At 49.3% G+C, this 24,290-nt stretch overlaps 1 protein-coding gene across 7 annotated transcripts in view, besides 3 other annotated features; it reads left to right on the plus strand.

Moving 5' to 3' along the window:
• Positions 1-24,290, plus strand: part of GALNT16 (polypeptide N-acetylgalactosaminyltransferase 16) — a 126,707-nt gene that overhangs the window by 89,760 nt on the left and 12,657 nt on the right. For 2 of the 7 annotated variants that reach the window (XM_017021498.2, NM_020692.3), the window contains 2 exons: positions 2,641-2,780; positions 3,942-7,652. In XM_017021498.2, coding sequence (XP_016876987.1) covers positions 2,641-2,778 — 138 coding nt within the window. In that variant the 3' untranslated portion in view covers positions 2,779-2,780; positions 3,942-7,652. Of the gene's footprint in view, positions 1-1,815; positions 7,653-24,290 lie in introns of those variants that run through there. The other 5 variants (XR_007064036.1, XM_047431618.1, XM_011537006.4 and 2 more) reach the window with 4 other exon arrangements.
• Positions 4,824-4,923: an enhancer, noted in NCBI's record as "active region_8634". NCBI's record gives its function as "activates an Ori minimal core promoter by ATAC-STARR-seq in GM12878 lymphoblastoid cells {active_cell/tissue: GM12878}" and the evidence as "EXISTENCE:reporter gene assay evidence [ECO:0000049][PMID:35858748]".
• Positions 4,954-5,453: an enhancer, noted in NCBI's record as "active region_8635". NCBI's record gives its function as "activates an Ori minimal core promoter by ATAC-STARR-seq in GM12878 lymphoblastoid cells {active_cell/tissue: GM12878}" and the evidence as "EXISTENCE:reporter gene assay evidence [ECO:0000049][PMID:35858748]".
• Positions 11,557-11,636: an enhancer, noted in NCBI's record as "active region_8636". NCBI's record gives its function as "activates an Ori minimal core promoter by ATAC-STARR-seq in GM12878 lymphoblastoid cells {active_cell/tissue: GM12878}" and the evidence as "EXISTENCE:reporter gene assay evidence [ECO:0000049][PMID:35858748]".

The following is a 24,290-nucleotide window of genomic DNA, read 5'->3' on the forward strand; positions in this document are numbered from 1 at the left end:
TGTAGGTATCTCCTTGGCCCCATTCATTCTGCCCCTGCAAGTCCTGCCAGGCTCCCGATGGCATTCTGGGTGCCTGTGCCCCTCTTCTCCCAGGAGGACAGGATGAGCCAGCTATCCCACTGCCAATGCCTTCTGGAATCCGGGCCGTCCTTCTTGGTCCCCTGCTGGTCCTATTTCCAAGGCTAGCTGGGTTTCCTGTATCCGAGAGGCTCCTGTGCCTCAGACCTGGTGTGATGGAGTCAGCAGGCCCCAGCTCAGTCTTCCCTCCCCCTCCCTTCACTCAGTCTCCTCACTTATAAAATAAGGGGCTCCCTCCCCTGCTTACCTCACAAGGAATCCGCAAGAACCAAGATGTGGAGATGGGACAGTGGGTGATGTGACATTGTTTCTCAGACAAGCCCAGAATTGAGTGGCCTGGAGAGTCAAGAAGCCCTGAGATTGTGCCTAATAGCACTGATAAGAAGTGAGAATCCCGCTGTTTGGGGAGCACTTCCTAATGATTGGGTGATTCAGTCATTCGTTCATCTTAAAACAAAATGACGGCTGGGTGCAGTGGCTCATGCCTGTAATCCCAGCACTTTGGGAGGCTGAGATGGGTGGATCATGAGGTCAGGAGTTCGAGACCAGCCTGACCAAAATGGTGAAACCCCGTCTCTACTAAAAACACAAAAATTAGCCGGGCGTGGTGGCGCGCGTCTGTAATCCCAGCTACTCAGGAGGCTGAGACAGGAGAATCGCTTGAACCCGGGAGGCAGAGGTAGCAGTGAGCCGAGATCGTGTCACTGCACTCCTGCCTGGGTGACAGAGCGAGACTCAGTCTCAAACAAACAAAATGTCACTGGGTGCCTACCTTGTGCCAGAGAATGTACAGATCATGTTGGCCACAAGGATGAACGGACATGGTCCTTGACCCCCAGGGAATTTGCACTTTAGTGGAAGAGAAAGAAGGGAGTAAGACACTATATTACAGAAGGCTAGATGCTGAGGTAGCTCCAAGCACCACGACTCCCTGGGGTGAGGATGGCCATACTCTCTCCAGCTGGGCATTGCTGGAGGTTTGGCCTACATGAGGTAAATGTCAAGGACTAGAAGAGCATGAAGAAACAGGAGGGGGGATCCAAAGGCCCTTGACCTTTAGGCTCTCTGCGGGGGCCATGTGGGCCCAGAGAGGCTGGGTCTCAGCCCTACCCATCACGTCCTTGCATTCCCACTGGGAGCCCAGGCTCCGCCCCTGCCTTCCACCCTGTGTGCACATCCCCCCGCAGCCCTAGCCCTATCCCTGCAGCTGGGTGGGCTCATCTCTCTCCCCTCAGCTGCTCCCTGTCCACCAACTGCCCTCAGAGCCCTCTGGGCTTCCTCCACATGGTCACAAGCACTCCTGCCTCTAATCGAAGACACGGTGAATGAGAGAAGATGGAAGAGGGGAGGTGGTTGCAATGGGAGGCAAATAGGAGAGAAACCCAAACTAGACCTATCTTACTATTATTCTTCCCTGAGCCTTGAAACCTGGGTCTCTGCCTCTCATCCCTTCTCATAAATGTTCCAAGCAACACTCCATCCTCCACCCAGGCACTTCCGTAATGTTCTACAGGAGCAACTCTTCTCCCCCTTGTCAAACCCGGGGTCGGGGAGGCACCAGGAGGTGAAGGCACTGACCAGGAGCCCCTGCATGACTCTGTGATGCGAGACCTCCAGTCTCCCACCACCCTGCTGGCCCCACACTTCATCCCTACAAAGAAGGCAGCTTCCCACTAGGGGGTGTAGATTACTGGCCTCACAGGTCAGAAGCTTAGGAAGAATAAATCTTGTTTACAGAAATAAAAGATTTACCTAGGCCAGGACTGACAAGCTCAAGTGCCTACAGGGAGCTGGTGGGAAAACCCCAATAGGAGAAAAGTCGGGACCAGGCAGGAACTATGGTGACCTGCAGAACAAGAGCCCCATCTAAGGCAGAGGGCAAATCCTCAGCCCCAGCAACTGATGCCATGTAAGAAACTGGGTCCAATAACTACATAGAAGCTGGAAATGCAGATTTGCACGTGGCAACCAAGCTAAATTGTAAATAAACACAGGGGACTTCTGCTTTGCCTCCTCCTCTGATCTGGACAGGAACTTCTGCAAACTACAGAAAAGCAAGAGCCCTGCTGGGAAGGGCAGGGCTTAAAGCTGGTGTTAGAGGCAGGATGGGGGCAGCCTCTTACATAGGAACACACAGCCTGATTTAAATGAGGGGCATGACTGGGCATGGTAGCTCATGCCTGTAATCCCAGTGCTTTGGAAGGCCAAGACAGGTGGATCACTTGAGGTGAGACGTTCTAGCTAGACCAGCCTGGGCAACATAGCAAGACCCAGTCTCTGCAAAAAATTTAAAAATTAGCTGGGCGTGGTGGCATGCAGGTGTAGTCCTAGCTACTCAGAGGCTGAGGCAAGAGGATTGCTTGAACTCAGGAGTTCGAGGCTGCAGTGAGCTGTGGTAGCACCACTGTAAGAACAAGGTCATGCCTAAAAAGAAAGGAGGAGGGGGATGTGTCCTAGTTATATACAAGGGCTGTGTGCATACATGTGGAATGAAAGTACAACATTATTTTTTTAAATCATTGTTTTCTCCTTCCTCTTCTAACCCATCTCTGTTCCTCCTAGAAATGGAGGAGAAAAGGATCTTTCATCCAGCATTCAGTCAGTGGCCTCTGCCTGGAGACAAAGCCTGCCCAGCTGGTGACCAGCAAGTGTCAGGCTGACGCCCAGGCCCAGCAGTGGCAGCTGTTGCCACACACATGACGGTAGCCCTGGGGCCTCCTGTACCTTTTGCATGAGACTTCGGGACCGGAAGGGGGTTAGGGTGGGGGAGTGCAAAGTGGGCTGTTCCCATCTCCTCACATTTCTGCCAGGACCATCAGCAAATACCCACCATGACACACGTTCTCCAAAGCTTGTTCTAGGAGGGCGCAGGCGGGCACGCCCCGATGCCCTCAGTGCTGTCCTGGCCTTGCCCCGGGAGAGGAGATGGTCAGGGTGCTGGACTGTTGCTGGGTAGAGACTGAGTAGGTGCCCCTGGCCCTTTGTCCTCTCCCTTGGCGCTTCTTGGGGCTGGGACAATAGTGTGTGGTCTCTCCCTTGTTGCCCGGAGAAAGCAAGGACAGAAGCCCACACAGGGGTCTTTTGGGTCATGAGGCCCAGCTGTGCAGGCAGGCAGGGCCAGGGGAAATTGGGCAGCATGGATGGAGAGGCTGAAGGCTGGGAAGAGGGAAGGGGAGAGGGGCAGCCTGCAGGGGTAGCTGAAGAACAGGAAGGAGGTGAGAAGCCCGGTGACCTGTCAGAGATGCCAAGCCCAGGGTGGCACTGGGTTGGGTGGGGACGGATGGTGTCTTGGCAGCAAAGGATGGGTAATTTGCAAATGAACATGGATAGAAGAGCAGCAAAGCACCAAAAGAACAAGGTCTCTTACCCAGGACACAGTCCCTTCCACACTTTACCAGCCCCAGGGTCTGAGCCCGACGCTGCCTCTTCCGGTCCTGTGCCTGTGGGTGCCCACATTCTTAGCAAGAGGCTGCAGAGGGATCTTTAGGGGAAGATTCGGGCGTAGTTTATTAAACAGACTCCACTTCTATTTGGCCATGTGTCAGGCTGAGACCTCTCTCTCGGGCATTAATGAACAGCTAGTGCCCTGTCCCTGCCGCCAGGACCCACTGAAAGGACGGGTAGCCACACACATCCCTGAGTAGTCCCAGCCTCATTTGTCATTTTTGACTCCTGCTTTCTCAAAGGTTTTTGCCTCTGTCAATACAGCATCATGGGTGGTTGGAAAGAAGGGAACTTCCCTTCTGGACCAAGAACAGCCCCTAAGTCATTAGGGTTCAACCTCACCCTTATTCCCCTCCCCGCTACAGGAGCCCCTAAGTCATTAGGGCTCAACCTCACCCTTATTCCCCTCCCTACTACAGGAGGGATTTTCTTGAAGGGTCAGCTATTGCACTGTGCTGGGAGGCTGGCTGTGGCTCCTGTTTGTGAAGAGAACTCCCAGTTCCTTTTCACAGCCGCTGAGAACACATCCACACATCTACCCCACGGCCTTGTCTTGGAACTGCTCCTGCTATCCCCACACCCTGCTTCCTCACCCCACTGGCTCTTGGGCAAATGACTGTTGGTACCAGGACCCTGGGGGTCTCCCCTACAAAGCAGACCAGCCTGGGGCAGATATACCTACCACAGGAGCCCCCTGTCTTTCATAGGCCAAGGATCCACATACCCATAGAGTTCATGGATTCTAGAGGGTCTAGGAATCTCTTGAAATTGTCCCTAAAATACTGCATGTGTGTGCATACATGCATTTTCCTGGGGAAAAAGTCCATGGCTTCTAAAAGAGGTCCCTGATCCCCAAAGGGCCTGAACCTCTGCTCTGGATTGAAGCCACTGTCTGCCCAAGCTGCCACCCCCTAATCTTCCTCCCTGGCGTGCTCAAACTGCCATCGCCTGCTCCCTCCACACGGCCCTTGGGGTCAGCAGCCAAGTGTCTGTGGTCCGCAGCACCTGCTCTGGAGGGCTCTCCAGCAGTTTCGCCTCCTGACTCTCACCAGCGTCCTCTCGGCAGCACTCCCGTGCCCAAGTGCACCCCTCTGGACTTGCCAGCGCAGGCCCCTTCGCTCCCAGGGCCATGCTTTGCCTGTCCTCTGTCGTGATGTTTCTTCCGCAGCCAGGTGCAGCCTCAGATCCCCTGTTCATCTGGGAAGCCTCCTGCCACAGCTTAGGACAGAACTGGGCCCAGGGCAAAGGCCTCTCCCCAGAGGATGGACTAGAAGGCCTGGGCCACACTCGGGCATGGACCTTTGGGGCTGGGGAGCCGGGGCTGCGCCTGTTGAATGTAAGAGGACTGCTGACCAGAGGGCCTTCAAGAGGGTCTCTCTGTCCTTTGCTGTGGTCAGATCAGGCTCTGCACTTATCAGCCGGTCCTTTGTGGCAACGCAGCCCTGTTCTGTTTTTGCTTTTCCTCTTCTTGACCAAAGCATGTGCCACTAGCTGTCCTTGAGGACCTCGTCTTTATGAAACACACACCTGGAATAAAACCACTTCTTACATGTCCACATGCACCAGCGCCTTCCTTTCTGCCTCCAGGCCTAGCCCTTCAGCACACCCTCCCCCGCCTCGTGGGGAAAGTCCGGGCCTCCTTTCTGTAAAAGTGAAACTGAACATGCTCAAGTCTAGCCCTGTCCTGCACCTGGTAGCTTGCTCGTCGGCCTCCATGCCCTGTGGTGCCCCAGGAACTCCTGACTGCTCTGGTGGGGGCCAACAGGTGGCCCTACTGCAAGGGCAGGCCTTGGACCAAAACCAGGAATCAGCACAGGTCAGGTGGAGCCCAGGCTCCTGTGGCCTCATTATGGGATTCTACTTGGGGCTTAGAAATGGAAAGCAAATTGCTTCTCCAAATAGGTATTGCCCTGCCGCCGTGCTTGCCTTTAGCCAGCCCTCTCTCCTTCCCTGTGAGCCAGGCCTGTCCCCTCGGAGCTGCCCTCCCCTGCTCTACCACACAAGAAGGCAGTGGTACAAATTCAGGCAGGACATACTTCCTGGGTAAAAACAGCAAAATAATTCTGAAAAGAGTCTTACCAGACCAGCTTTGCTTGATTGGGTAGCAGATGCTCTGCCTAATGTTCCCATGGAAACCAATGGAAAACCCCCACCATGTCTGTGATCAGAAGCTGAACCTACCCAGGTAAAAATAAACGCTGCTTCAACATACATATGAACTGCAGCTGGCAGGCCAGCACACCACTAGCCTCTCCTGGACGCAACCATTTCTGCCCTCAGCCCCACTTTGCCGTGGGGCTGCTGATCTGGAGTTACCCAGAACTTCTGACCCCTGGGCCTGAGGAGCCTGGAGCAAAGCCCTAGCTGGCTGCAGAGAATACACCTTGGCTACAATGTCCAGCTTGGTCTGGGCTTAGGAGCAAGTCACTGTAAAAGACCTTGGCTGCAGCCTCCATTCCCCCATCCACCCCTCCGTCCTCTCAGGGAGCACAGCCCACCACCCACCGCCTACTCAGGGCTCCCTCCTGGCGCGCTGAGCCCCATTTCCACTCTCCATCTATTTTCACCCTCAGCCTTGGAGGGCTCTGGTGCTTGCTTCTCCTGAGTCAGGCTCTCTCCTCTTGCTTGCTCTCCTCCAAACCTACCTCTCCCAAAGCCCATTTTCTGTGCCACCCAGTTTTTTCCCTAGGAGATAAGGCTGTCAGCCTTTAGCCAGGCCCTGGAGGAATCAGCAAAAGCCCCAGGCTGGGTATTAACAGTTACGTCACTGGCAGGAGAGTCCCCCGAAAGCCTATGGGCAGGGCAGCAGAAGGGACTTCTGCACCAGGGCCAGACTCCCATTTGTACAGCAGGGAGCTGTTCCTGAGGATCCCTGGGCCTCTGTGACTTGGCTTCAGTTTTTACAAGGGCTGTTCCCCCTGGCCCCTCAGGAAGGCTGTCTCCATCTGCAGTTGGGAGAAATAACCTGGACAATATGACTGTCGTCCCAGGGTTCCAGCACCCCAAGGCCTGCGGGGGATGTCTCCCAGCACTGCATGGGGTGTGGTCCTTCTCCCACCAGGGAACAGGAAAGGAAACCTGGAAGGGAAAGGCTGGCATTTATAACGTCTGTAATTTCATTGCCAACAATGTTCTCAGTGTGTTTGGTATTTGTGTGTCCCTGTGATGGTCTGAGTCAGTGCTCCTCCAGAAGGAGGGGGCAACCCAGCCAGCTTCTCTAATGGGAAGAGGTCTTCACTGCCAGGCACTTAGGAAAGACCTGGAGATGGATCAGGGGAGGGCCTACTCTCCTGGGCTTGCAGCTGGGCTGTCTGAGTAGCCGACCTGGACTGAGGCTCCAGAGCCATCTGAGGACAATTTCTCCTGCTTAATTCAGCCCTGTGAAGCGTGGAGAAGAGTGTACTAGGGGTGCGGACTCTTGGGTCTTTAAGACCCATTCAAGCCAGGCGCAGTGGCTCACACCTGTAATCCCAAATATTCAGGAGGCTGAATTGGGAGGGTCCTTTGAACCCAGGGGAGTTCGAGACCAGCCTGGGCAACATAGCGAGACCCTATCTCTATAAATAAAAATTCAAATCAACTTCAAAAAATACCCATTCAGCTGGATCCCTCACTACTCTGCCATTTGCCAGCTGTGAGCTCTTTTTTTTTTTTTTTTTTTGAGACAGAGTGTTGCTCTGTCACCCAGGCTGGAGAGCAGTGGCATGATCTCCACTTACTGCAAGCTCTGCCTCCTGGGTTCACGCCATTCTCCTGCCTCAGCCTCCCGAGTAGCTGGGACTACAGGCGCCCACCACCATGCCCAGCTAATTTTTTTTGTATTTTTAGTAGAGACAGGGTTTCACCGTGTTACCCAGGATGGTCTCCATCTCCTGACCTCGTGATCCACCCGCCTCGGCCTCCCAAAGTGCTGGGATTACAGGCGTGAGCCACTGCGCCTGACTGAGCTCTTGAATAAGTTATTTCATCTCTCAGCCTTGATTTCTTTACCTGTTAAATGGGGTACTCATAGCCGTAAAGGATTTTTTTGTGAAGCCTGATCGCAAAGCATCTGGCCCTTTCCAAATGCTTAATCAATATGTCATTACTATTATTAATAAACATTTTCTGAGTGCCTGCTACATGCCAAACACTTTGCTAGGGGTGATGACACAAATGTAAACAAGACAGAAACGGTCCCTGCCCTCGAGAACAAATATTCTAGCAGAGGAGATGGACCAATCAGCAGCAACTGTGATACCACATGATAAAAGCTACAGGGGAAGGCAGGAGCTATGGGAGCAAGGAGAGGGAGCTCTCACCCAGAGCGTCAGTGAGTTGGTGCTCTCTCTCCAGAAGATGATGCTTCCAGGACAGCTTGAAATGACATTCCAGGCAATGCCTGCCTCAGGCTGGATAAAGGTTGGACTGGATAAGGTCTGGTGAAGTCCACTGGCCACACTAGCAGAGATGGCAATTCAGCTGGTACCTTGCTGGGTGGCCTGGGCTTTTTACCCTGCAGGCAGCATTGTGGTGACGTAGACCAGCCTGTTACAACAGGAGAATTCTAGAAGGAAGCTGTGGGAGCCATTTCAACCCCAACAGACACAGCCTGTGCTTCTTGAGCTAGGGACCATTCCTCCAGGGCTCGGTATTCTTCCTTCGGGAAGGTGGGTCTAGTTGGTACGGGAATTAGTGATCCTTCTCTGGAGAGAAGGGATACTCATGGTGGAGGCGTTCCAGGAAAGACTTGTTTTTGCCTGGCTCTCAGGTTGCTTCTGATCCCCTCAAGCCATCTGAAAACAAAGCCGGTCTTTCAACAATTTGTCTTTCAAATATGTGTCTCTTAAGATGTGGTCCAGATAACCTGCTCAGTATCCCTGGAGGGATTGTAGACCTGTATGCTCCTGGGTCTGACCCAGACGGGGAGGCTTAGAATTCCTGTGTTTGTATTGAGTGGTCCAAGTGATGCGTTTGCACATTTAAGTCCCATGCACCAGGAAGGAGAGCTGGAGGCCCAGAGAGGGGAAGCTGTGCAGGAGAGAATCAGAATGAGCTGGGCCCTGGATTGAGTACCCTGACACTCAGCACTGGACTCACTACAAGAGGGAGAAGCCAGGGGGAAAGAAGGCTACCCTTGTACTCCTTACTGTACTTCCCCAGGAGCCAGAAGAATGTAGGGACCACATCTTGGACCCGGAGGTCTGAGCCCAGCAGTGGTGGAGAGTCCCCAGCTGGGAGACCCTCAGTTGGATGGGAAACTAGGGATGGCAGGAGAGTCTGGGGGACTCTCTGGCAGGAGAACCAGGAGGTAAGAGTCTCTGGAGACAGTTGCTCTAGGGCCACCTCGATGGGGTCTCTGTCTGGGCCCCTCCCCACAGTTTGAGTCAGAGATGGCTCTCAGCATGGCAGGAGGCTTGCTCCTCTCCCCGTGGGTGGACTGCAGTTCCCACAACCCTGTCAGGCAGCTGCAGAGCTCCAGGTTTCTCTGCCCACAAGGGCAGGGGCTGCCCCTCGCCCAGGATGACTCTGCCTTCCAGAGCCTTGGCCTCCCTGGGGGTGGGAGTGTGGGGGATGCTAAGGTTAAATCAGGTCACAGTAAGTTGTGGGGGCAGCAGGTGGAGCAGCAGAGTGGCACTGGGAGCTTTCTCTTGGGTGTGCGGTGTGGCCTTGGTTCTGCAGCCATCAGGTGGGGGCTTGGGACTGACTTCTCCTTCTGAAGGATGCTGGGAAGGTGAGCTGGCTTTGGCAGTGCTTAGAGCTCCGGGGGGTTCCCCCTCCTAGAACATGCAAGCTCTCACACCGGTGCGTCATCATCACACCCATCATCAAGCCCACAGTGGTATACTGAACACCTGCCCCACAAAGACGGTGGAATGCTCTCAGAGGAGCCCCATGAACCACCGATGGTTACAACTATCCAATGCCTGATGGCAGACAGCCAGGCCAACCTCGGCTTCCACTCTCTCTTCCTCACCCTACAATCAGCCAAAGTGACCTGAGTCGTGTAGTGCGAAGTTGCTTTCTGCTTTCTCTTGTTTGTGCTTTTGCTGTTTCTTCTGCCCCATACTTTGTTAACTCCATGAGTTAAATGCTACCCATTTTCCCAGACAAGTGCTGCTTCTGCAAGGAAACCCTTCCTGATCCCCCACCTGTCTGAAAAGTACCTCTCCAGCTTGCTTCTTCAGGGTGCTGAGCGTTCCTTCCCAGCCTGTCATCACCTTCCTCCATACGCTATGGTGTGTTCCTGTCTTCTCTAGTCTTGTCCTCTTTTTTCTGTTAGATTGTAGCTCCTTGCTGACAGGAACCACGCCTGCTCCAGCTTCATACCTCCCACTGCTACAGCACAGAACCTGCTTCTCAGACTTACAGCAAATGTTTGTTTGCTGAATGAATTAATTAAAGATAAAGCATTCTAACTGGGTTTGTTTTTGTTTTGCTTTGTCTTTTAATGATAAAGCATTTTGGCATTTAGGAATTAGTACACTGCACATAGAAAGCACGCAATATACACTTGTCCATTTTTCGTCTCACTTCTTACAAGTTTGATGTTGCCACAACTCCACCCTCCCTATTCATTAGTTGTCTCAACAGCAATGTGTTGGTGATGCTGAGGACTGACACAGATTGAGCACTTTCTGGGTACCCAGAATCTTAGTAAGGCTACCATATGCACTCCAATGAGGTAGGTTCTCATACACTCACTTTATGGATGAGGAGGGGAGGCTCAGTTGAGAGAAGAAATTTGCCCAAGGATAAACAGCTAGGTTTAAACTCACTCTCACAGGAGCATGTGTCAATGGTCCCACAGACCAGCCCCTTCAGCTGGGAACTTATTAGAAATGTAAACTCTGGGCCAGACGCGGTGGCTCACGCCTGGAATTCCAGCACTTTGGGAGGCCGCGGTGGGCAATCACAAGGTCAGGAGATCGAGACCATCCTGGCTAATGTGGTGAAACCCCATCTCTACTAAAAATACAAAAAATTATCCAGGCGGGTGGCACACGCCTGTAGTCCCAGCTACTCGGGAGGCTGAGGCAGGAGAATCACTTGAACCCAGGAGGCAGAGGTTGCAGTGAGCCGAGATTGTGTCATTGCACTCCAGCCTGGCGACGGAGTGGGACTCTGTCTCAAAAATAAAATAAAATAAAATAAAGAAAAAAAGAAATGCAAACTCTTGGCCAGGCACAGCGATTCCTGCCTAGAATCCCAGCACTTTGGGAGGCTAAGGTAGGAGGACCACTTGAACTCAGGAGTTTGAAACCAGCCTGGGCAAAATAGTGAGACCTCATCTATACTATAAATTTAAAAATTAGCCAGGTGTGGTGGTGCATGCCTGTAGTCCCAGCTACTCAGAAGGCTGAGGCGGGAGGATCACTTGATCCCAGGAGGTTGAGGCTGCAGTGAGTTATGATTGCAGCACTGCACTTCCAGCCTGGGCAACAGAGCGAGACCCTATCTCAAAAAGAAAAAAAAAAAAAGAAGAGGCCGATTAGGAGACTGAGACAGGTGGATCACTTGAGGCCAGGAGTTCGAGACCAGCCTGGCCAACATGGTGAAACCACATCTCTACTAAAAATACAAAAATGAGCTGGGCATGATGCCCAGTGCCTGTAGTCCCAGCTATCTGGGAGGCCGAGGCAGGAGAATCCCTTGAACCCAGGAGGTGGAGGTTGCAGTGAGCTGAGCCTGGGAGACAGAGTGAGACTGTCTAAAAAAAAAAGAAGAAGAAGAAGGAGAAGAAAAGAGAAGAGAGGAGAGGAGAGAAGAATAGAAGAAAAAAAAGGAAAGAAAAAAGAAAAGAAAAGAAATGAAGAAATGCAAACCCTTGGGCCCCACTCAGACCTACTGAATCAGAAACTCTGGGGGTGGGGCCAGCCCTCTGAGTTTAACAAGCCTCTTGGGGATTCTGATGCATGCTCAGGTTTGAGAGCCACTGTTCTGGTGACTGAGATGGGTTCTGGTCCCCTGACGGGGCCACGTGTCACCACGTGGTGCAGAAGGCTCAGAGAGCTGGGTGCTGCGGGCCCTGCCCCTGCTAAGCAAGCTGCCTGCCACAGAGCTCTGGGCAGTGATGGATCACTCTGAGGCGGAGGGAGAGTGGGCACTGGGCTGGGCTGAGGGTTGCCACTGAACCAGCTGCCACATGCCAGCCTCGCTTTGCATGATTTATGAGTTTCTTCCCCAATACCAGCCACATATGGTTGACTTCATTCTAGAAGAGCTTCTGCCTCAGAAGATCTATTAATCAAGGAATCAGTGCTGCATCCTCCAGCCTGCAGGACAGGCATACATTTTACCGTGAGTTACATGGCAAAGCCCTTTCTATGAGTACTCCATTCAATGACATTTATAACTGGTCCTGTCAGTCACTGACCAAACACTGAGACACACATTTTATCTTCTTTGATCTTTACAACTCTATCAGGTAGGTATTTTCAATACCACCCCATTTACAAACTAGATATCAAAGCCCAGAGAAGTTAACATATCTGCCCAAGATTACCCAGCTGGCAGGATGGAGGGCCAGGATTTAAAATCATGAAGTCTGATCCAGGGTCCATGCTCCTTGCTGCTCCTTATTGCCTTTCACCCATCAGTCTGTATATTCATAGAACACTGACATGTTTGTACTGTTATCCCCATGTTGCACTTGAGGACACTGAGGCCCTGTGCAAAGCTCTAACAGGCTGAGAGCTTTTGTCCCCACATCCCGTATCCTTACATGGCTGATTCTTAGAATGGAGGTAGGATGAGCCAACGTTGGTTCCACAATCATCATTTTGCAGATGTAGAAACAGGATGAGAGGCTAAAGCACCTAAAGTCACAGGGGGCCCAGTGCGGTGGCTCACACCTGTAATCCCAGCACTTTGGGAGGCCGAGGCAGGTGGATCACCTGAGGTCAGGAGTTCAAGACCAGCCTGGCATGGATGGCGAAACTCCGTCTCTACTAAAAAAACAATAATTAGCCAGGTGTGGTGGCGCATGCCTATAATCCCAGCTCCTCAGGAGGCTGAGGCAGGAAAAATGCTTGAACCTGGGAGGCGGAGACTGCAGTAAGCCGAAATCACGCCACTGCACTCCAGCCTGGGTGACAGAATGAGACTCCATCTCAAAATAAATAAATAAATAATAAAGTCACAGGGCAGGAAATTGGGAGCACAGGACATGGTAGATCCAAGAATACAATGTCCCGTGATGTAGCTCTGGAGGCGATTGCGAATGGTCTGCCTTGGGGCCAGGCATCTTCTCTGGGGCTCGGGAGGGTGAGACCCCTGACTGAGCTGGCCTGAGGGCCCAGGGCTATGTCCAGCATGGCCTGTTTTCTCCCTGCCTCCTGGCCAGGGGTATTTGTTCCCAATGTCCTCCCGGCCTCAGGGTTCTCTGCTCTGCCTTATTTGTCCTCAGACATTCGTTTTGAGCTTGTTCAGACCCGTGTGTACTCTGCCTTGTGGCTTTGTCCACTTGAGGTGGAGGCTCCAGGGTGCTTTGTGGAGCCCCACAGCTTCCACCAGGTGCCTGGATCTCTGCATGCTCATTAAGCAGTGAGGCTTATTTAAAATTATTATAACCAAATGTGTCCATCTCAGTTATTTCTTGGCTGGTTTTCTGTGTTGGACTGCAGGGATAGAGAGGAGAGTTCAGCCTCACAATAAGAGAACAATTGCTGTAGCTCTGGCCCAGCTATTTCTGAGCTGGGAGACTTTTAGCCAGCTGCTTAGGCATCCTGAGCCTCACTGTTCTCAACTGAAAAATGGGTATGATGTGGGAGCAGATCAAATGGGAAAATGTCTGTCATCAGGTCTTGTAAAGTGGAAACAGCAGTCTGGGAATCCTCAGGATACGTTTATGCGACCCTGGGCAGGCCAGAGCTGCTAGACTCTAAAGCTTTGAATTTTCCAGCTGGTCAGGACTGTCTCCAGCCACCAGGGCAAGACTTTGCAGCTCAGACATGGTGGCCTGAAATGGTGGGAAGTTGACCAGAGAGAGGAGGCTGGGGAGTCCCAGCACCTACTTCGTTCCTGAGTGGAAGACTGCTGGTCTGGCTTTGAAACCTTGCTTCATGACACTTGCTTTACCTTGTGAAGAAAGCAAAGTGAGTTCAGCAGGGGACTTGATGTTTCAACAAGGCTTTGAAAACCATCAGAATATTGGACCGGGAGGGAAGGTTATGAGGCAGGAAGAGTGGTTCTGTTTGGGGTCTTCAGAGCACAGCTGTCCCACCGTTGTCTGCATCCCTGTCTGACATGACTTAGGTTCCCTGGAGCAGGGAAGATGCAGGCTGCGGAGACAGTCCTCGGCCAGTGCCCTCTGCTTGTGGGGGCCGTAGAGCACGCATGGCCTTGCTGCCATCACCAGGCCTGAGGGAGGATGGCAGTCACGCTGCCGAGAAGGACCCACAGATATTATCAACAACACAGAGAAAGCTGCTGTCGGAAGGCCCCTTCCCAGCCCAGGATTCGGTCTGCCCAGCAGAGGAGAAAGAGAAGAGGCTGGGAGTCTAACCTAGAGTTGAAGCCTTTCCCTTCCTAGCTGGGCAACCTGCAGCTAGTTACTTGAACTTTCTGAAACTCGGTCCCCTCACCAGCAAAGCAGGGATAATAATAACTACTTCTTAGGGGTGCTGTGAGATTTAAATAACATTTGTCAATGAGCTGAAGTAAATAAAAGAAAAAGAGGCATGGTGCCCAAAAAACTGCCCCAGTTCCTTGAGGAAGAAGTATTTGTCCTGCTCACGGCTGGATTGCCAGAGCTTGGTACAGAAGTGGTCAGTAAGTGTGTGCTAATGAATGAATGAATGAATGGAATGAGGCTCTGTTGAGGCAAGATGAGCCTCTCCTAGAAGGCACTGACTCTAACCCCAGTCCTAACCCTGGTTCCTGGGCTCTAAAAGGGGGCACGCATTCAAGGCAGATGCATGCCGATCTTGTTAACCTTGCAGATAGAGGAATCCTGTCAGGGATGGATTGGACAAATGGATGCAATCCAAGGGCAAGAATGCCAGGAGCTTCCTTGAGATTCTCCACCCCTATCCCTAGCCACTGGGTGACTGGCCCCCACTAGAGGTTCCCTGAGTGCCTGTACTTCCCCGCTTTTACCTTGAATCAGGGTTGCATTGGAATGGCCTGTGCTCTTCTGTACTCCAATTGGATTGCAGACTACATGAAGACAAAGACTTGTCTATTGCACCTAGTATAGTACCCCGTGCATGGTGGGTGCTTGCAGTAAGTGTTTCTTGAATGAATGAACAAGTGGCGATGAGTACAATAAAACTACTGTTCTCCATCAGTTCTGAGAGTCTTGGGGGATTGTTCTTTGTCAGTTTGTTCTCGGCTTCCTCTTTTAATTTGGCTGTTGACTTGCATTTTCATGAAATTAGGTGAGGTTTGACCCACTGAAAATTCTTTTTCATCAGGCATAGGAGACACAGCATTTGCAAGTGGATGCCAAATCAGTGCTTGATTAAACAGACAATGAATGTGAGAACAAAGATTATACAGCAGAGATGATGCGGTACATACAGATGGGGATGCATCTACCTTGTTAGAAAACTGCCTTCCATACTAATGGATTTGTTGAAAGGCTAAGGCAGTGGAAACTGCAGCTTTGAAATTATCTAAGGTTTTCATTTAAACTGGCAGCAAAGAGAAACTGATGCAGGCTTCTCTGTGGTCCAACAGTCGTCTTCTTCAAGCTTTTGCCCAGGGCCATGTCTCAGCTCAGGATATAGGAGTCTGTATTTGCATACAAATTGCAAATATCTACAAATTCTTTGCTCAAGCAATTTTTAAGCAAAATGTTATTGCTTCCCTGAAGGTCATAATTCCTTGCTTTTTCTCTTCAATATTCTTCTTGCTTAGGAGCCACTCACATTGACCCAGATTTCCCACCCCAGGAGTGGGCAGGAGGGTGGAAGGAGCCAAAGGAAGGGGAGCAGGTGGCTGAGTGATGGAACCCGCTTTTCAGGATGCCCAGAACCTGACCTAAGTGTTTTAAGTATTATTTCATTTAATTACCCAGCCAGCTCTTCAGGGTAGACACTATTATGATATCCATTTATAATGAGGAAATCAAGGTTCAGAGATGTTGTGTGAGTCTCTCAAAGTCACACAGCTAGGAATGGCAGAGCCTGGAATCCAACGATGTCTGATTCCCAGAATTGAGTCTTAATCTATGCTGTTTCTGTAAACCACTTACTCTTTATGTCCCCTTAAATATATTAGGCAATTCTATTAAAATTATTAACAATAGTATGCCAAGTCTACTGACTTGTCCCTAAACTGTTTCCAAATGTGAATGTGCTAGGAGCTTTCTGGAGTTAAAGTGGGGGTAGGATCAGCTACATAATTTGGAGGCTTTAGTGAAAAATGAAAATATGGGTCATCTAATTCATAAATAATTAATAATTTCAAACGATGACAGTGGAGTATTGAACCAAGTGTGGGGCCCTTTTAAGCTCAGAGCTCTGGGTGGAATGTATGTCTATTTTGTCTTGGTACCTGGCATTGGGTCTGGCACATGGTAGACAGTAAAAGCTACTGGCTAATTGATACAAAGGAACGAGATCATGTCCTTTGCAGGGACATGGATCGAGCTGGAGGTCATTATTCTCAGCAAACTAATGCAGGAACAGAAAACCAAATACCACAAGTTCTCACTTACAAGTGGAACTGAATGATGAGAACACATGGACACATTGGTGGGGAACAACACACTCTGCAGCCTGTTGGAGGGCTCAGGGACAGGAGGGAGAGCATCAGGAAGAATAGTCAATGGATGCTGGGCTTAATACCTAGGTGATGGGATGATCTGTGCAGCAAACCAGCATGGCACACGTTCACCTATGTAACAACCCTGCACATCCTGCACATGTACCCCTGAGCTTAAAAGAAAAAAAAGAAAACACTGCTGGCTATTTGAATGAAATAATGCAATAAATACTTATCATTACTACATACCAAGCAGGGTTTAGGCACAGGCGACACAGCAGTAGACAACATACGTAAGGTCCCTGACCCCATAGCACATATAGTCTAGAGGGACAGAGAAACAAGTAAACCAAAAAATGCACAAGTTTATTCCAAGATAGTAATAGGTGTTATGTACAAATAAAACGGGACAACGGAAAGTCACTAGGAAGATGGTGTGGAGGGGTAAGGGCTAACTTCAGATGGGGCATCAGTTGGCATTTGATGCAAGACTTGGGTGATAGGAGTCAGAAAGATTGGGGAAGAGCTTTCTGGGCAGAGAAAGTAGTGATGTAAGATTTCACAGAGGAATGAATGAATGACATGAATGAATGAGCAGCATGGGTAGAGTGGATGCATGCCCATGGGGGTTTCCCATGTAGTAAGCTCCAGTCCCTTGGCTATCCCCCACCTCAATCCATGATGGCCCCCTCCCTACCTATCCAGTTGCCCTCTCATTCACTGTGCCAGTCTTCTCTGAATCCTTCGAAGGCACCAAGTTATTCTCTGCTTAGCACCTTCCCACAGCAGATCCTCTGCGTGCTTCCCCGACTCTGCCTGAGGGGCTCCTTCTCATCTTTCAGGTCTCAGCTTAAATGTCAGCCCTTACAGGGCCCTCTGCTCATCCATGTTCAAGCAGCTCAAAATATTATTCTCTCTCATAAAACCCTGATGATTTCCTTCATAACTACAACTAAATTAGCTTCTAGTTTTTGCTGTAAAACTCTCTGAGGGTATCATGGATCAAGGGTCATGTGTACTTAATTTGTTTATGAACCTTAGTTAATAAAAATGAAAGCTGACCTCCCTCCCTGCCTCATACTCCTTTATAATGGAACCAGTATGAATAGGCATACACAAGTGAGAGTAATTCCCTGATACCAAAAATCAACTAACTAGCTAATTGATTAATGAATCACAAACATATGTTGAGAACCTATGATTTAGAAGGCACTGGGGATTCCAATGTGAAATATGTAGTTCACTCTTCAAAGAGCAGAGATGATTGAGGGAAGTAGACAATCACACCAACAGTCCCACACAGTGCAATATAAGCCATGTCAGAACATGCTGGGGTGGAGGGATTAGGTTATCATGGAAGGCTTCCTGGAGGTGGTGACGCCTGAATGGAGCCTTAACCTATGATTAAGGGTTAAAGTGTATGAGCCTTGAGGAATGAGATGTACCCCTAAAAGGAAGAAGGTATAAGAGGCATGGAGAGATTGTGGGGTGTACTTGTGGAATCGCAAGAAGTGTGGTCCGTACAGGGAACAGGGAGGCGGATTTTTGGGGGCTGAGTTTTGACAGGTAGGCAGGTGCTGATCATGAAGGGCCTTGGGCGGTAAGCTAAGAAATTTGGATTTTATTTTAAGAATGTGCAATGGACTGAATGTTTGTGCTCCACCCCCGCAAACTCATATGTTGAAACCTAACCCCCAAAGTGATGGTATTAGAAAGTGGGGGCTCTTGGGAGGTGATTAAGTCGTGAGGGTGGCAGCCCTCATGAATGGGATTAATACCCTTATAAAAGACACCCTAGAGAACTCTCCTCCATGTGAGGGTACAACAAGAAGGTGGCCATCTGCAACCTGCAACCTGGAAGACTCCCCTCACCAGCACCTAACCATCCTGGCACCTGATCTTGGACTTACAGCCTGCGGATCTGGAGCAATACATTTCTGTTGTTTATAAGCCACCCAGTCTATGGTACTTCGTTGTAACAGCATGAACAAACTAAGAGTGATAGAGAGCTTCAAGAATTCCAAGCAGGGGCTGTGCAAGGCAAAAAAAAAAAAAAAGAAAAAGAAAAAAGAAAAAGAATTCCATACAGGAAGGCCAGGCATGGCAGCTCACACTTATAATCCTAGCGCTTTGGGAAGTGGAGATGGGGCAGGGTGGGGGGGAACTGCTTGAGGCCAGGAGCTTCAGACCAATTTGGGCAACATAGGGAGACCCTGTTTCTACCAAATAAAAAATTAAATATTAGCCAGGCATGGTGCTGCACAGCTTTAGTCCTAGCTACTTGGGAGGCTGAGGTGCGAGGATCGCTTGAGCCCAGGAGTTCAAGGCTACAGTGACATGATTGTGCCACTGCACTCCATCCTGGGCAACAGAACGGGATCCAATCTCTAAATAAAGAAAAAAAGAAGAAAAAGAAAAGAGAAAGAATGGCAAGAAAGTGATATAATCAGATTTTCATTATGAAAAACGTCCTCTTCCATAGCACAGAAGAGGACAGACTATTAGAGGGTAGTGATGGATGTCTATTCTTTATCAGCCAAAACCTCCTGCCTCCTTTTTCTGGGAAAAGCTCTTTCCCTTGTGGGTTGAATAGAAACTTCCATTTTATTATAGACTCTATTAGCTACCTATTGCCGTGTAAAAAATTACCCCACAATTTAGTGGCTGGAAACAATTAACATTTATTATCTCACAGTTTCCATGGGTCAGGAATCCAGGAGTGGCTTAGCTGAGGGTTCTGGCTCAGAGACTCTCATGAGGTTGCAATCAGTGTGTCAAGCCAGGGCTGCAGTCATCTCAAGGCTCAAGCAGGGCTAGAGAATCTGCTTCCAAGCTCACTTCCATGGGCTGTCTCCATAGGGCTGTCTCACAACATGGCAGCTGGCTACCCTTGGAACCAACAGTCTCAGAGAGACTGAGAGAGCACACCTAAGATGGAAGCCACAGTCCTTCTGTAACTTCATACTGGTAGTGAGATCTCATTACTTCTGCTGTATGCTATTTTAGGAGAGTCATTCATAAGTTCAGCCTTCCCCTAAGAGGAGGGTTTACACGAGGGCTTGACTACCAGGAGGCAGGAATCACTGGGGGCCACCTCAGAGGCTGCCCACCACACAGATCCCACCATGTCCTCAGGGCAGGTAACCCAAGCTGGGCCAGTCCAGTCAGAACATTTCTTGGGATCTTTTAACTCGACTAGAAAGAAGGAATCTTTCTAAAGTGGTAAAACTCGAAGACAATGGGCATCCCTGTGGGAAAGAGCTGGCCTGTGATGGGAATGACACTAACACTTCAAGGGAAGCAGGGACCAGAAATAGCAGGCATTCCTGTTGCCCATCAGCTTCTGGTTCCACTTGATCCTAAGACTCACCTGTGCTCTGGCCATTCCTGTAATTTGTTTACACAACTCAATAAACTATACCCCTCACTCTTGTTGCCTGAGCTAAGTCAGGATGGGTTTCTGTCATTTGTAACGAGAGAATGATGACTGACTAACTGATCGAGAGTCACCCTGAGGTAGGAAGATCAATTAGGAAACTATTGCAGATGATAACTGATGAGGGCCTGATGAAGGCACTGGGGTTCTGATTAGGGCCCAAACAGGAGGACACATAGGAATGGAAGGAGGGATCATGGCAGACGGTCTTATTCCATTATATCCCCAGATGTTAACATTGTGTCTGGCACATAGTAAGTGCTAAGTAAATATTTGTGGAAATGAATAATTAAATAAATGAATAGAGGCAGAGAGACAAAGATAAAAGCAAGACTTGCTGACCAACTGGATGTGGAAAGTGAGGAAGAAAGAAATGAAAGCTTGTACCCAGACCTCAGCCGTGAAAGGTTGGCTGGCTAGCAACACCATTCAAGACAGAGCTGCTTTGGATGGGGTCCATGAGGAGGGGTGGTGAGCTCCACTGTGAACCACTGGCATGTGTCTTCAAGGCAAGCGGCTGATCTTAGGGAACGGAGTGGTTAACTTTTCTTCAATAGGAACATCCATGTTGTTGGCCTCCCCAGCTCTGTCCACGTTACCTACAGAGTGACGCAACCACGTGCACTCAAAACTAGAGAAAGACCTACTTTTACAAGTAGGCAATGAACACAACCACCTCAGGGACTAGTGGCTCCTGATTAGGAACAGTCTAAAGTTAGCATGACAAAATCAGCTGTCAACTGTCAGCTTAATGAGTCTTCCGACTCCCTGAAGGAGCTCTCTAAGGTCCCCCTGAGGACAGCTTACTTCCCAACCAGACTGGGGAAGATTGTAGAGATGAGTGGAGAGGCCTGAAATTGGGAATTCAGAAAACACATTTGCTCTTCTCCTTTGGGGATGCCCACACTGAGTGAGGCTGGGCACATTTGGCAGCTTTTTATAAACTGGCATTGGAAAGCTGTCAGAGGTGGGAAATGCCCCCTTTTCTATTGGCATTCTTGTGTCCAGTCAGAAGCAGTCTAGGGAGGTGGTTAAGCAAGGGTTGTTAAATGTCACCAGAATTTAGTTTGAAGTGCTGACTCTGTTTACATCCCTGGGCGAGCTCATTAGCATGTGTCAGAAATGCAGCTTCAGTGGCCCCAAACATTCCCCACTGCTCCCAGGCTTACAGAACACCAGCCTGACATAGCAGAGCTACCTCGGGCTTCCTTGCAAGCTCCGCCTGCCAAGCAACCAGACAAGTCGTCCTCAACAAAGGCTTCTTTTGTGGCCCAAATATGCCCTGCTTTGATAATGCATCATTCCCTCTTCTGCTCAGGCTGAGGGGAGAGGGTGGGGCAGCGTATCCAGGTGGAGTGGAGCAGTGAATGTGGTCTGTGAATGGTAAAGCCCTATGGAGGAGTAAGGATCATGGATGCATTGTCAGTCTTAGAAGTGTTCCTACTGGCTTTAGCACTACCGCTATGCAGTAGCCAAGATAGGATATAACTTTGTGATCGAATCTTTTATTTTTTTTTAACTTTTCATTATGGAAAGTTTCAAGCATATGAAAAAGAAGAGGTGAAACCCACCACCCAGGTTATCAATTTATGGCTAATCTTGTTTCATCTACACCCTTCCACTGGATTATTTGAAGCACATCTCATATATGTCATTTTATCTGTAAATATTTCAGTATACACTCTAAAAGAGAATTTGAAAAAATAACCACAATGGCATTATCAAATCTAAAAATCACAATAATTCCTTAATACTGCTGGAATCTTATACTGATGGGCAAAGGAGCCTCCTGGTGCTATCTTCTCCTTTGCCCTCCATCTCCAACAGGAACAGTGCGCCAAGTGCAAATCAATGCAAAAGGCAAGATCCCACCTATGCTAGGGTCATTACTGCTTTGTGAGCAGCTTTAGCAATTTAAAAATATTTCTTGAAATAGCTTGATACAATTTTAAAAACCAAATAAACAGTCCTTATGTTTTTATCAGATCTTTTGGCCCTTACCAAAGGGCCAAGGACAGCCTATTAGAGAATCAAAGTGCTACAAGGATAGCCTATTAGAGAATCAAGAAGTGCCGGAAGTTGAACAAGATTCCTTGCCTGAGCAGCTGGTGACTGGACTGCCCTGGGGTCCTTGGCCTCCACTAAGATACAGGGGTAACTTCACGGTAACATGAATGTTTTTAGACTTCTTTCTGGTAGTATTGTATTAATAGTAATTTTTTTATTTTTTTTTGAGATGGAGTCTCACTCTGTCGCCAGGCTGGAAGTGCAGTGGTGCGATCTCAGCTCACTGCAACCTCCCACTCCCTGGTTCAAGCGATTCTCCTGCCTCAGCTTCCCGAGTAGCTGGGATTACAGGCACGCACCACCACGCCCAGCTTATTTTTGTATTTTTTTTTAGTAGAGACAGGGTTTCACCATGTCAGCCAGGATGGTCTCGGTCTCCTGACCTCGTGATCCACCCGCCTTGGCCTCCCAAAGTGCTGGGATTACAGGCGTTAGCCACCACACCCGGCCTAACAGCAATATTAAATATTGCTGGGGAATACATTTGATTAAGTATAACGTACATATAGAAAGTGTGCAAAACTCTTAAGAGTTTGTTTTGTAATAATAGTTATCATTGGCCAGGCGTGGTGGCTCACGCCTGTAATCCCAGAACTTTGGGAGGCTGAGGTGGGTGGATCATGAGGTCAGGAGTTGGAGACCAGCCTGGCCAATATGGTGAAACCCCATCTCTACTAAAAATACAAAAATTAACCGGGCGTGGTGGCGTGAGCTTGTAATCCCAGCTACTTGGGAGGCTGAGGCAGAAGAATTGCTTGAAGCCGGGAGGTGGAGGTTGCAGTGAGCCGAGATCGTGCCACTGCACTCCAGCCTGGGCGACAGAGCAAGACTGTCTCAAAAAAAATAAAAAAATAAATAATAAATAATAATAAGTTATCATTCACCTGGCTCTACACTTACCCGAGGATTAAGTTAAACAGTGAAAATGAGGTGGAAACAGCATAACTGTTACTAGGACAGCCGGTCACATAAATGTGGAGTTACCTTTATGGATGAGCAGGATGAGTAGGGCATCCCTGTGCAGGAGTGGCCTGCAGTGAGGAGTTAGAGCCCAAGTAGGAAGAGGAGCTTGTCTAGGCAGAAGGTGGCTGGGGGTTGGAGTGCCTATCAAAGCTGGTGATGGGCAGGGGGAGGTGAGGCGGTTGTCCTTGTTGGGAAGCCTGAGTGATCCATCCACAGGCTCTTGGGGCAACATACTCCGTGTTGGCTGCAAACACTGACTCACTGATACGGGGTCTGTTGACATAGAATCTTATACAAACTGTGGAATCCCAATATCTACACTGGTCTGTTGCAGGAATGCTGGGTAGTATTCAGAGATGCTCACCATTCACACATAGGTCACAAGGCTCAAATACATAATTGTCTTAGTAGTGATCATTAGCCTTTTTTTTTTTTTTTTTTTTTTGAAATGGAGTCTTGCTCTGTTGCCCAGGCTGGAGTGCAGTGATGCGATCTCGGCTCACTGCAACCTCCACCTCCCAGGTTCAAGAGATTCTTCTGCCTCAGCCTCCCGAGTAGCTGGGATTACAGGCGCATGCCACCATGCCTGGGATCTTCAGCCTTTTCTAAGAAGGAAAGAAGTAATTTCTCAATCCAAGTACCTGAAAAGATTCAGAGGGCCTGGCTTAAGAGAAGCAAGGGTATCAAGGATACGTTGAGGTATCAAGCAGGACTTTGATCTCTAATCAACTTCATTCTAATAAGCATTTGTCCTCAACAGCCTTTCAGTACCTGCACCTTCAAATCTTTTCCTAACACTCTGCAAGAAACATGAGGTTTCCTGCCCTCTGTCATTATACCTGCAACCTCCCATTGGGATTTGCAAAATAATTGGGATGAGCATTGTGGTAATCCTTCCTGGAGTTGCATTGTAGGTGGAAGTTGGTGACCATACTTCTAACAGGTCTCTGAGCTCACTGACAGTGTCAAGGACAAAGTGATCTCTAGAATGGCCAGGGGCATTGCAGGGCAAGGACCCAGAACTGTGGGATACTCTTCAAACTACTCACCATGGAACAGACACTAAAAGACTCAACTATACTCTTTTTCTCCAAGGCTAGAGAGGCAATATAGTTGGCCAAGCCCAAGGGTCCTGTAACAGAGTAGGTACTCCACAACAAATGCTTGTAGGTAAAGGTGGGAGTTAGTATTACCATGACAACTCCTCCAACCCTGGGCTTCCAAGAAAGAAACCATGATCTATCCCATTTCTCTTAAATTACAGCCCACACACTTTAACTTCAAACATCTATTGACAAGAATGCAGGGCCTGTCTCAGTTAAGCGATGTCATCAGTTCTCATTAGCCTCTTCATAGTCTCTTGAAAAGCATAAAGAAAATTACCTCTGGCACAGAAAAGGCTTTTAAACCAACCTTTTCACAGTATGTCTCAAACTGAACATCCACTTAAGTGTATAATTACAAAAAAGAAAGGGTATGCTAGATATGTTGACACAGGATCTCTAAATGTAGCTGAAGGAGTTACTATTATCTTCAAAGGCAAAACATCTTTCTTAGGCTTACAAGACAAACTATGTAGTGGAGTAGACAGGAAAGCAAATCACTAAGAGAT

This window comes from Homo sapiens, chromosome 14, assembly GCF_000001405.40.
Source record: "Homo sapiens chromosome 14, GRCh38.p14 Primary Assembly".
Classification (NCBI taxonomy): domain Eukaryota; kingdom Metazoa; phylum Chordata; class Mammalia; order Primates; family Hominidae; genus Homo; species Homo sapiens.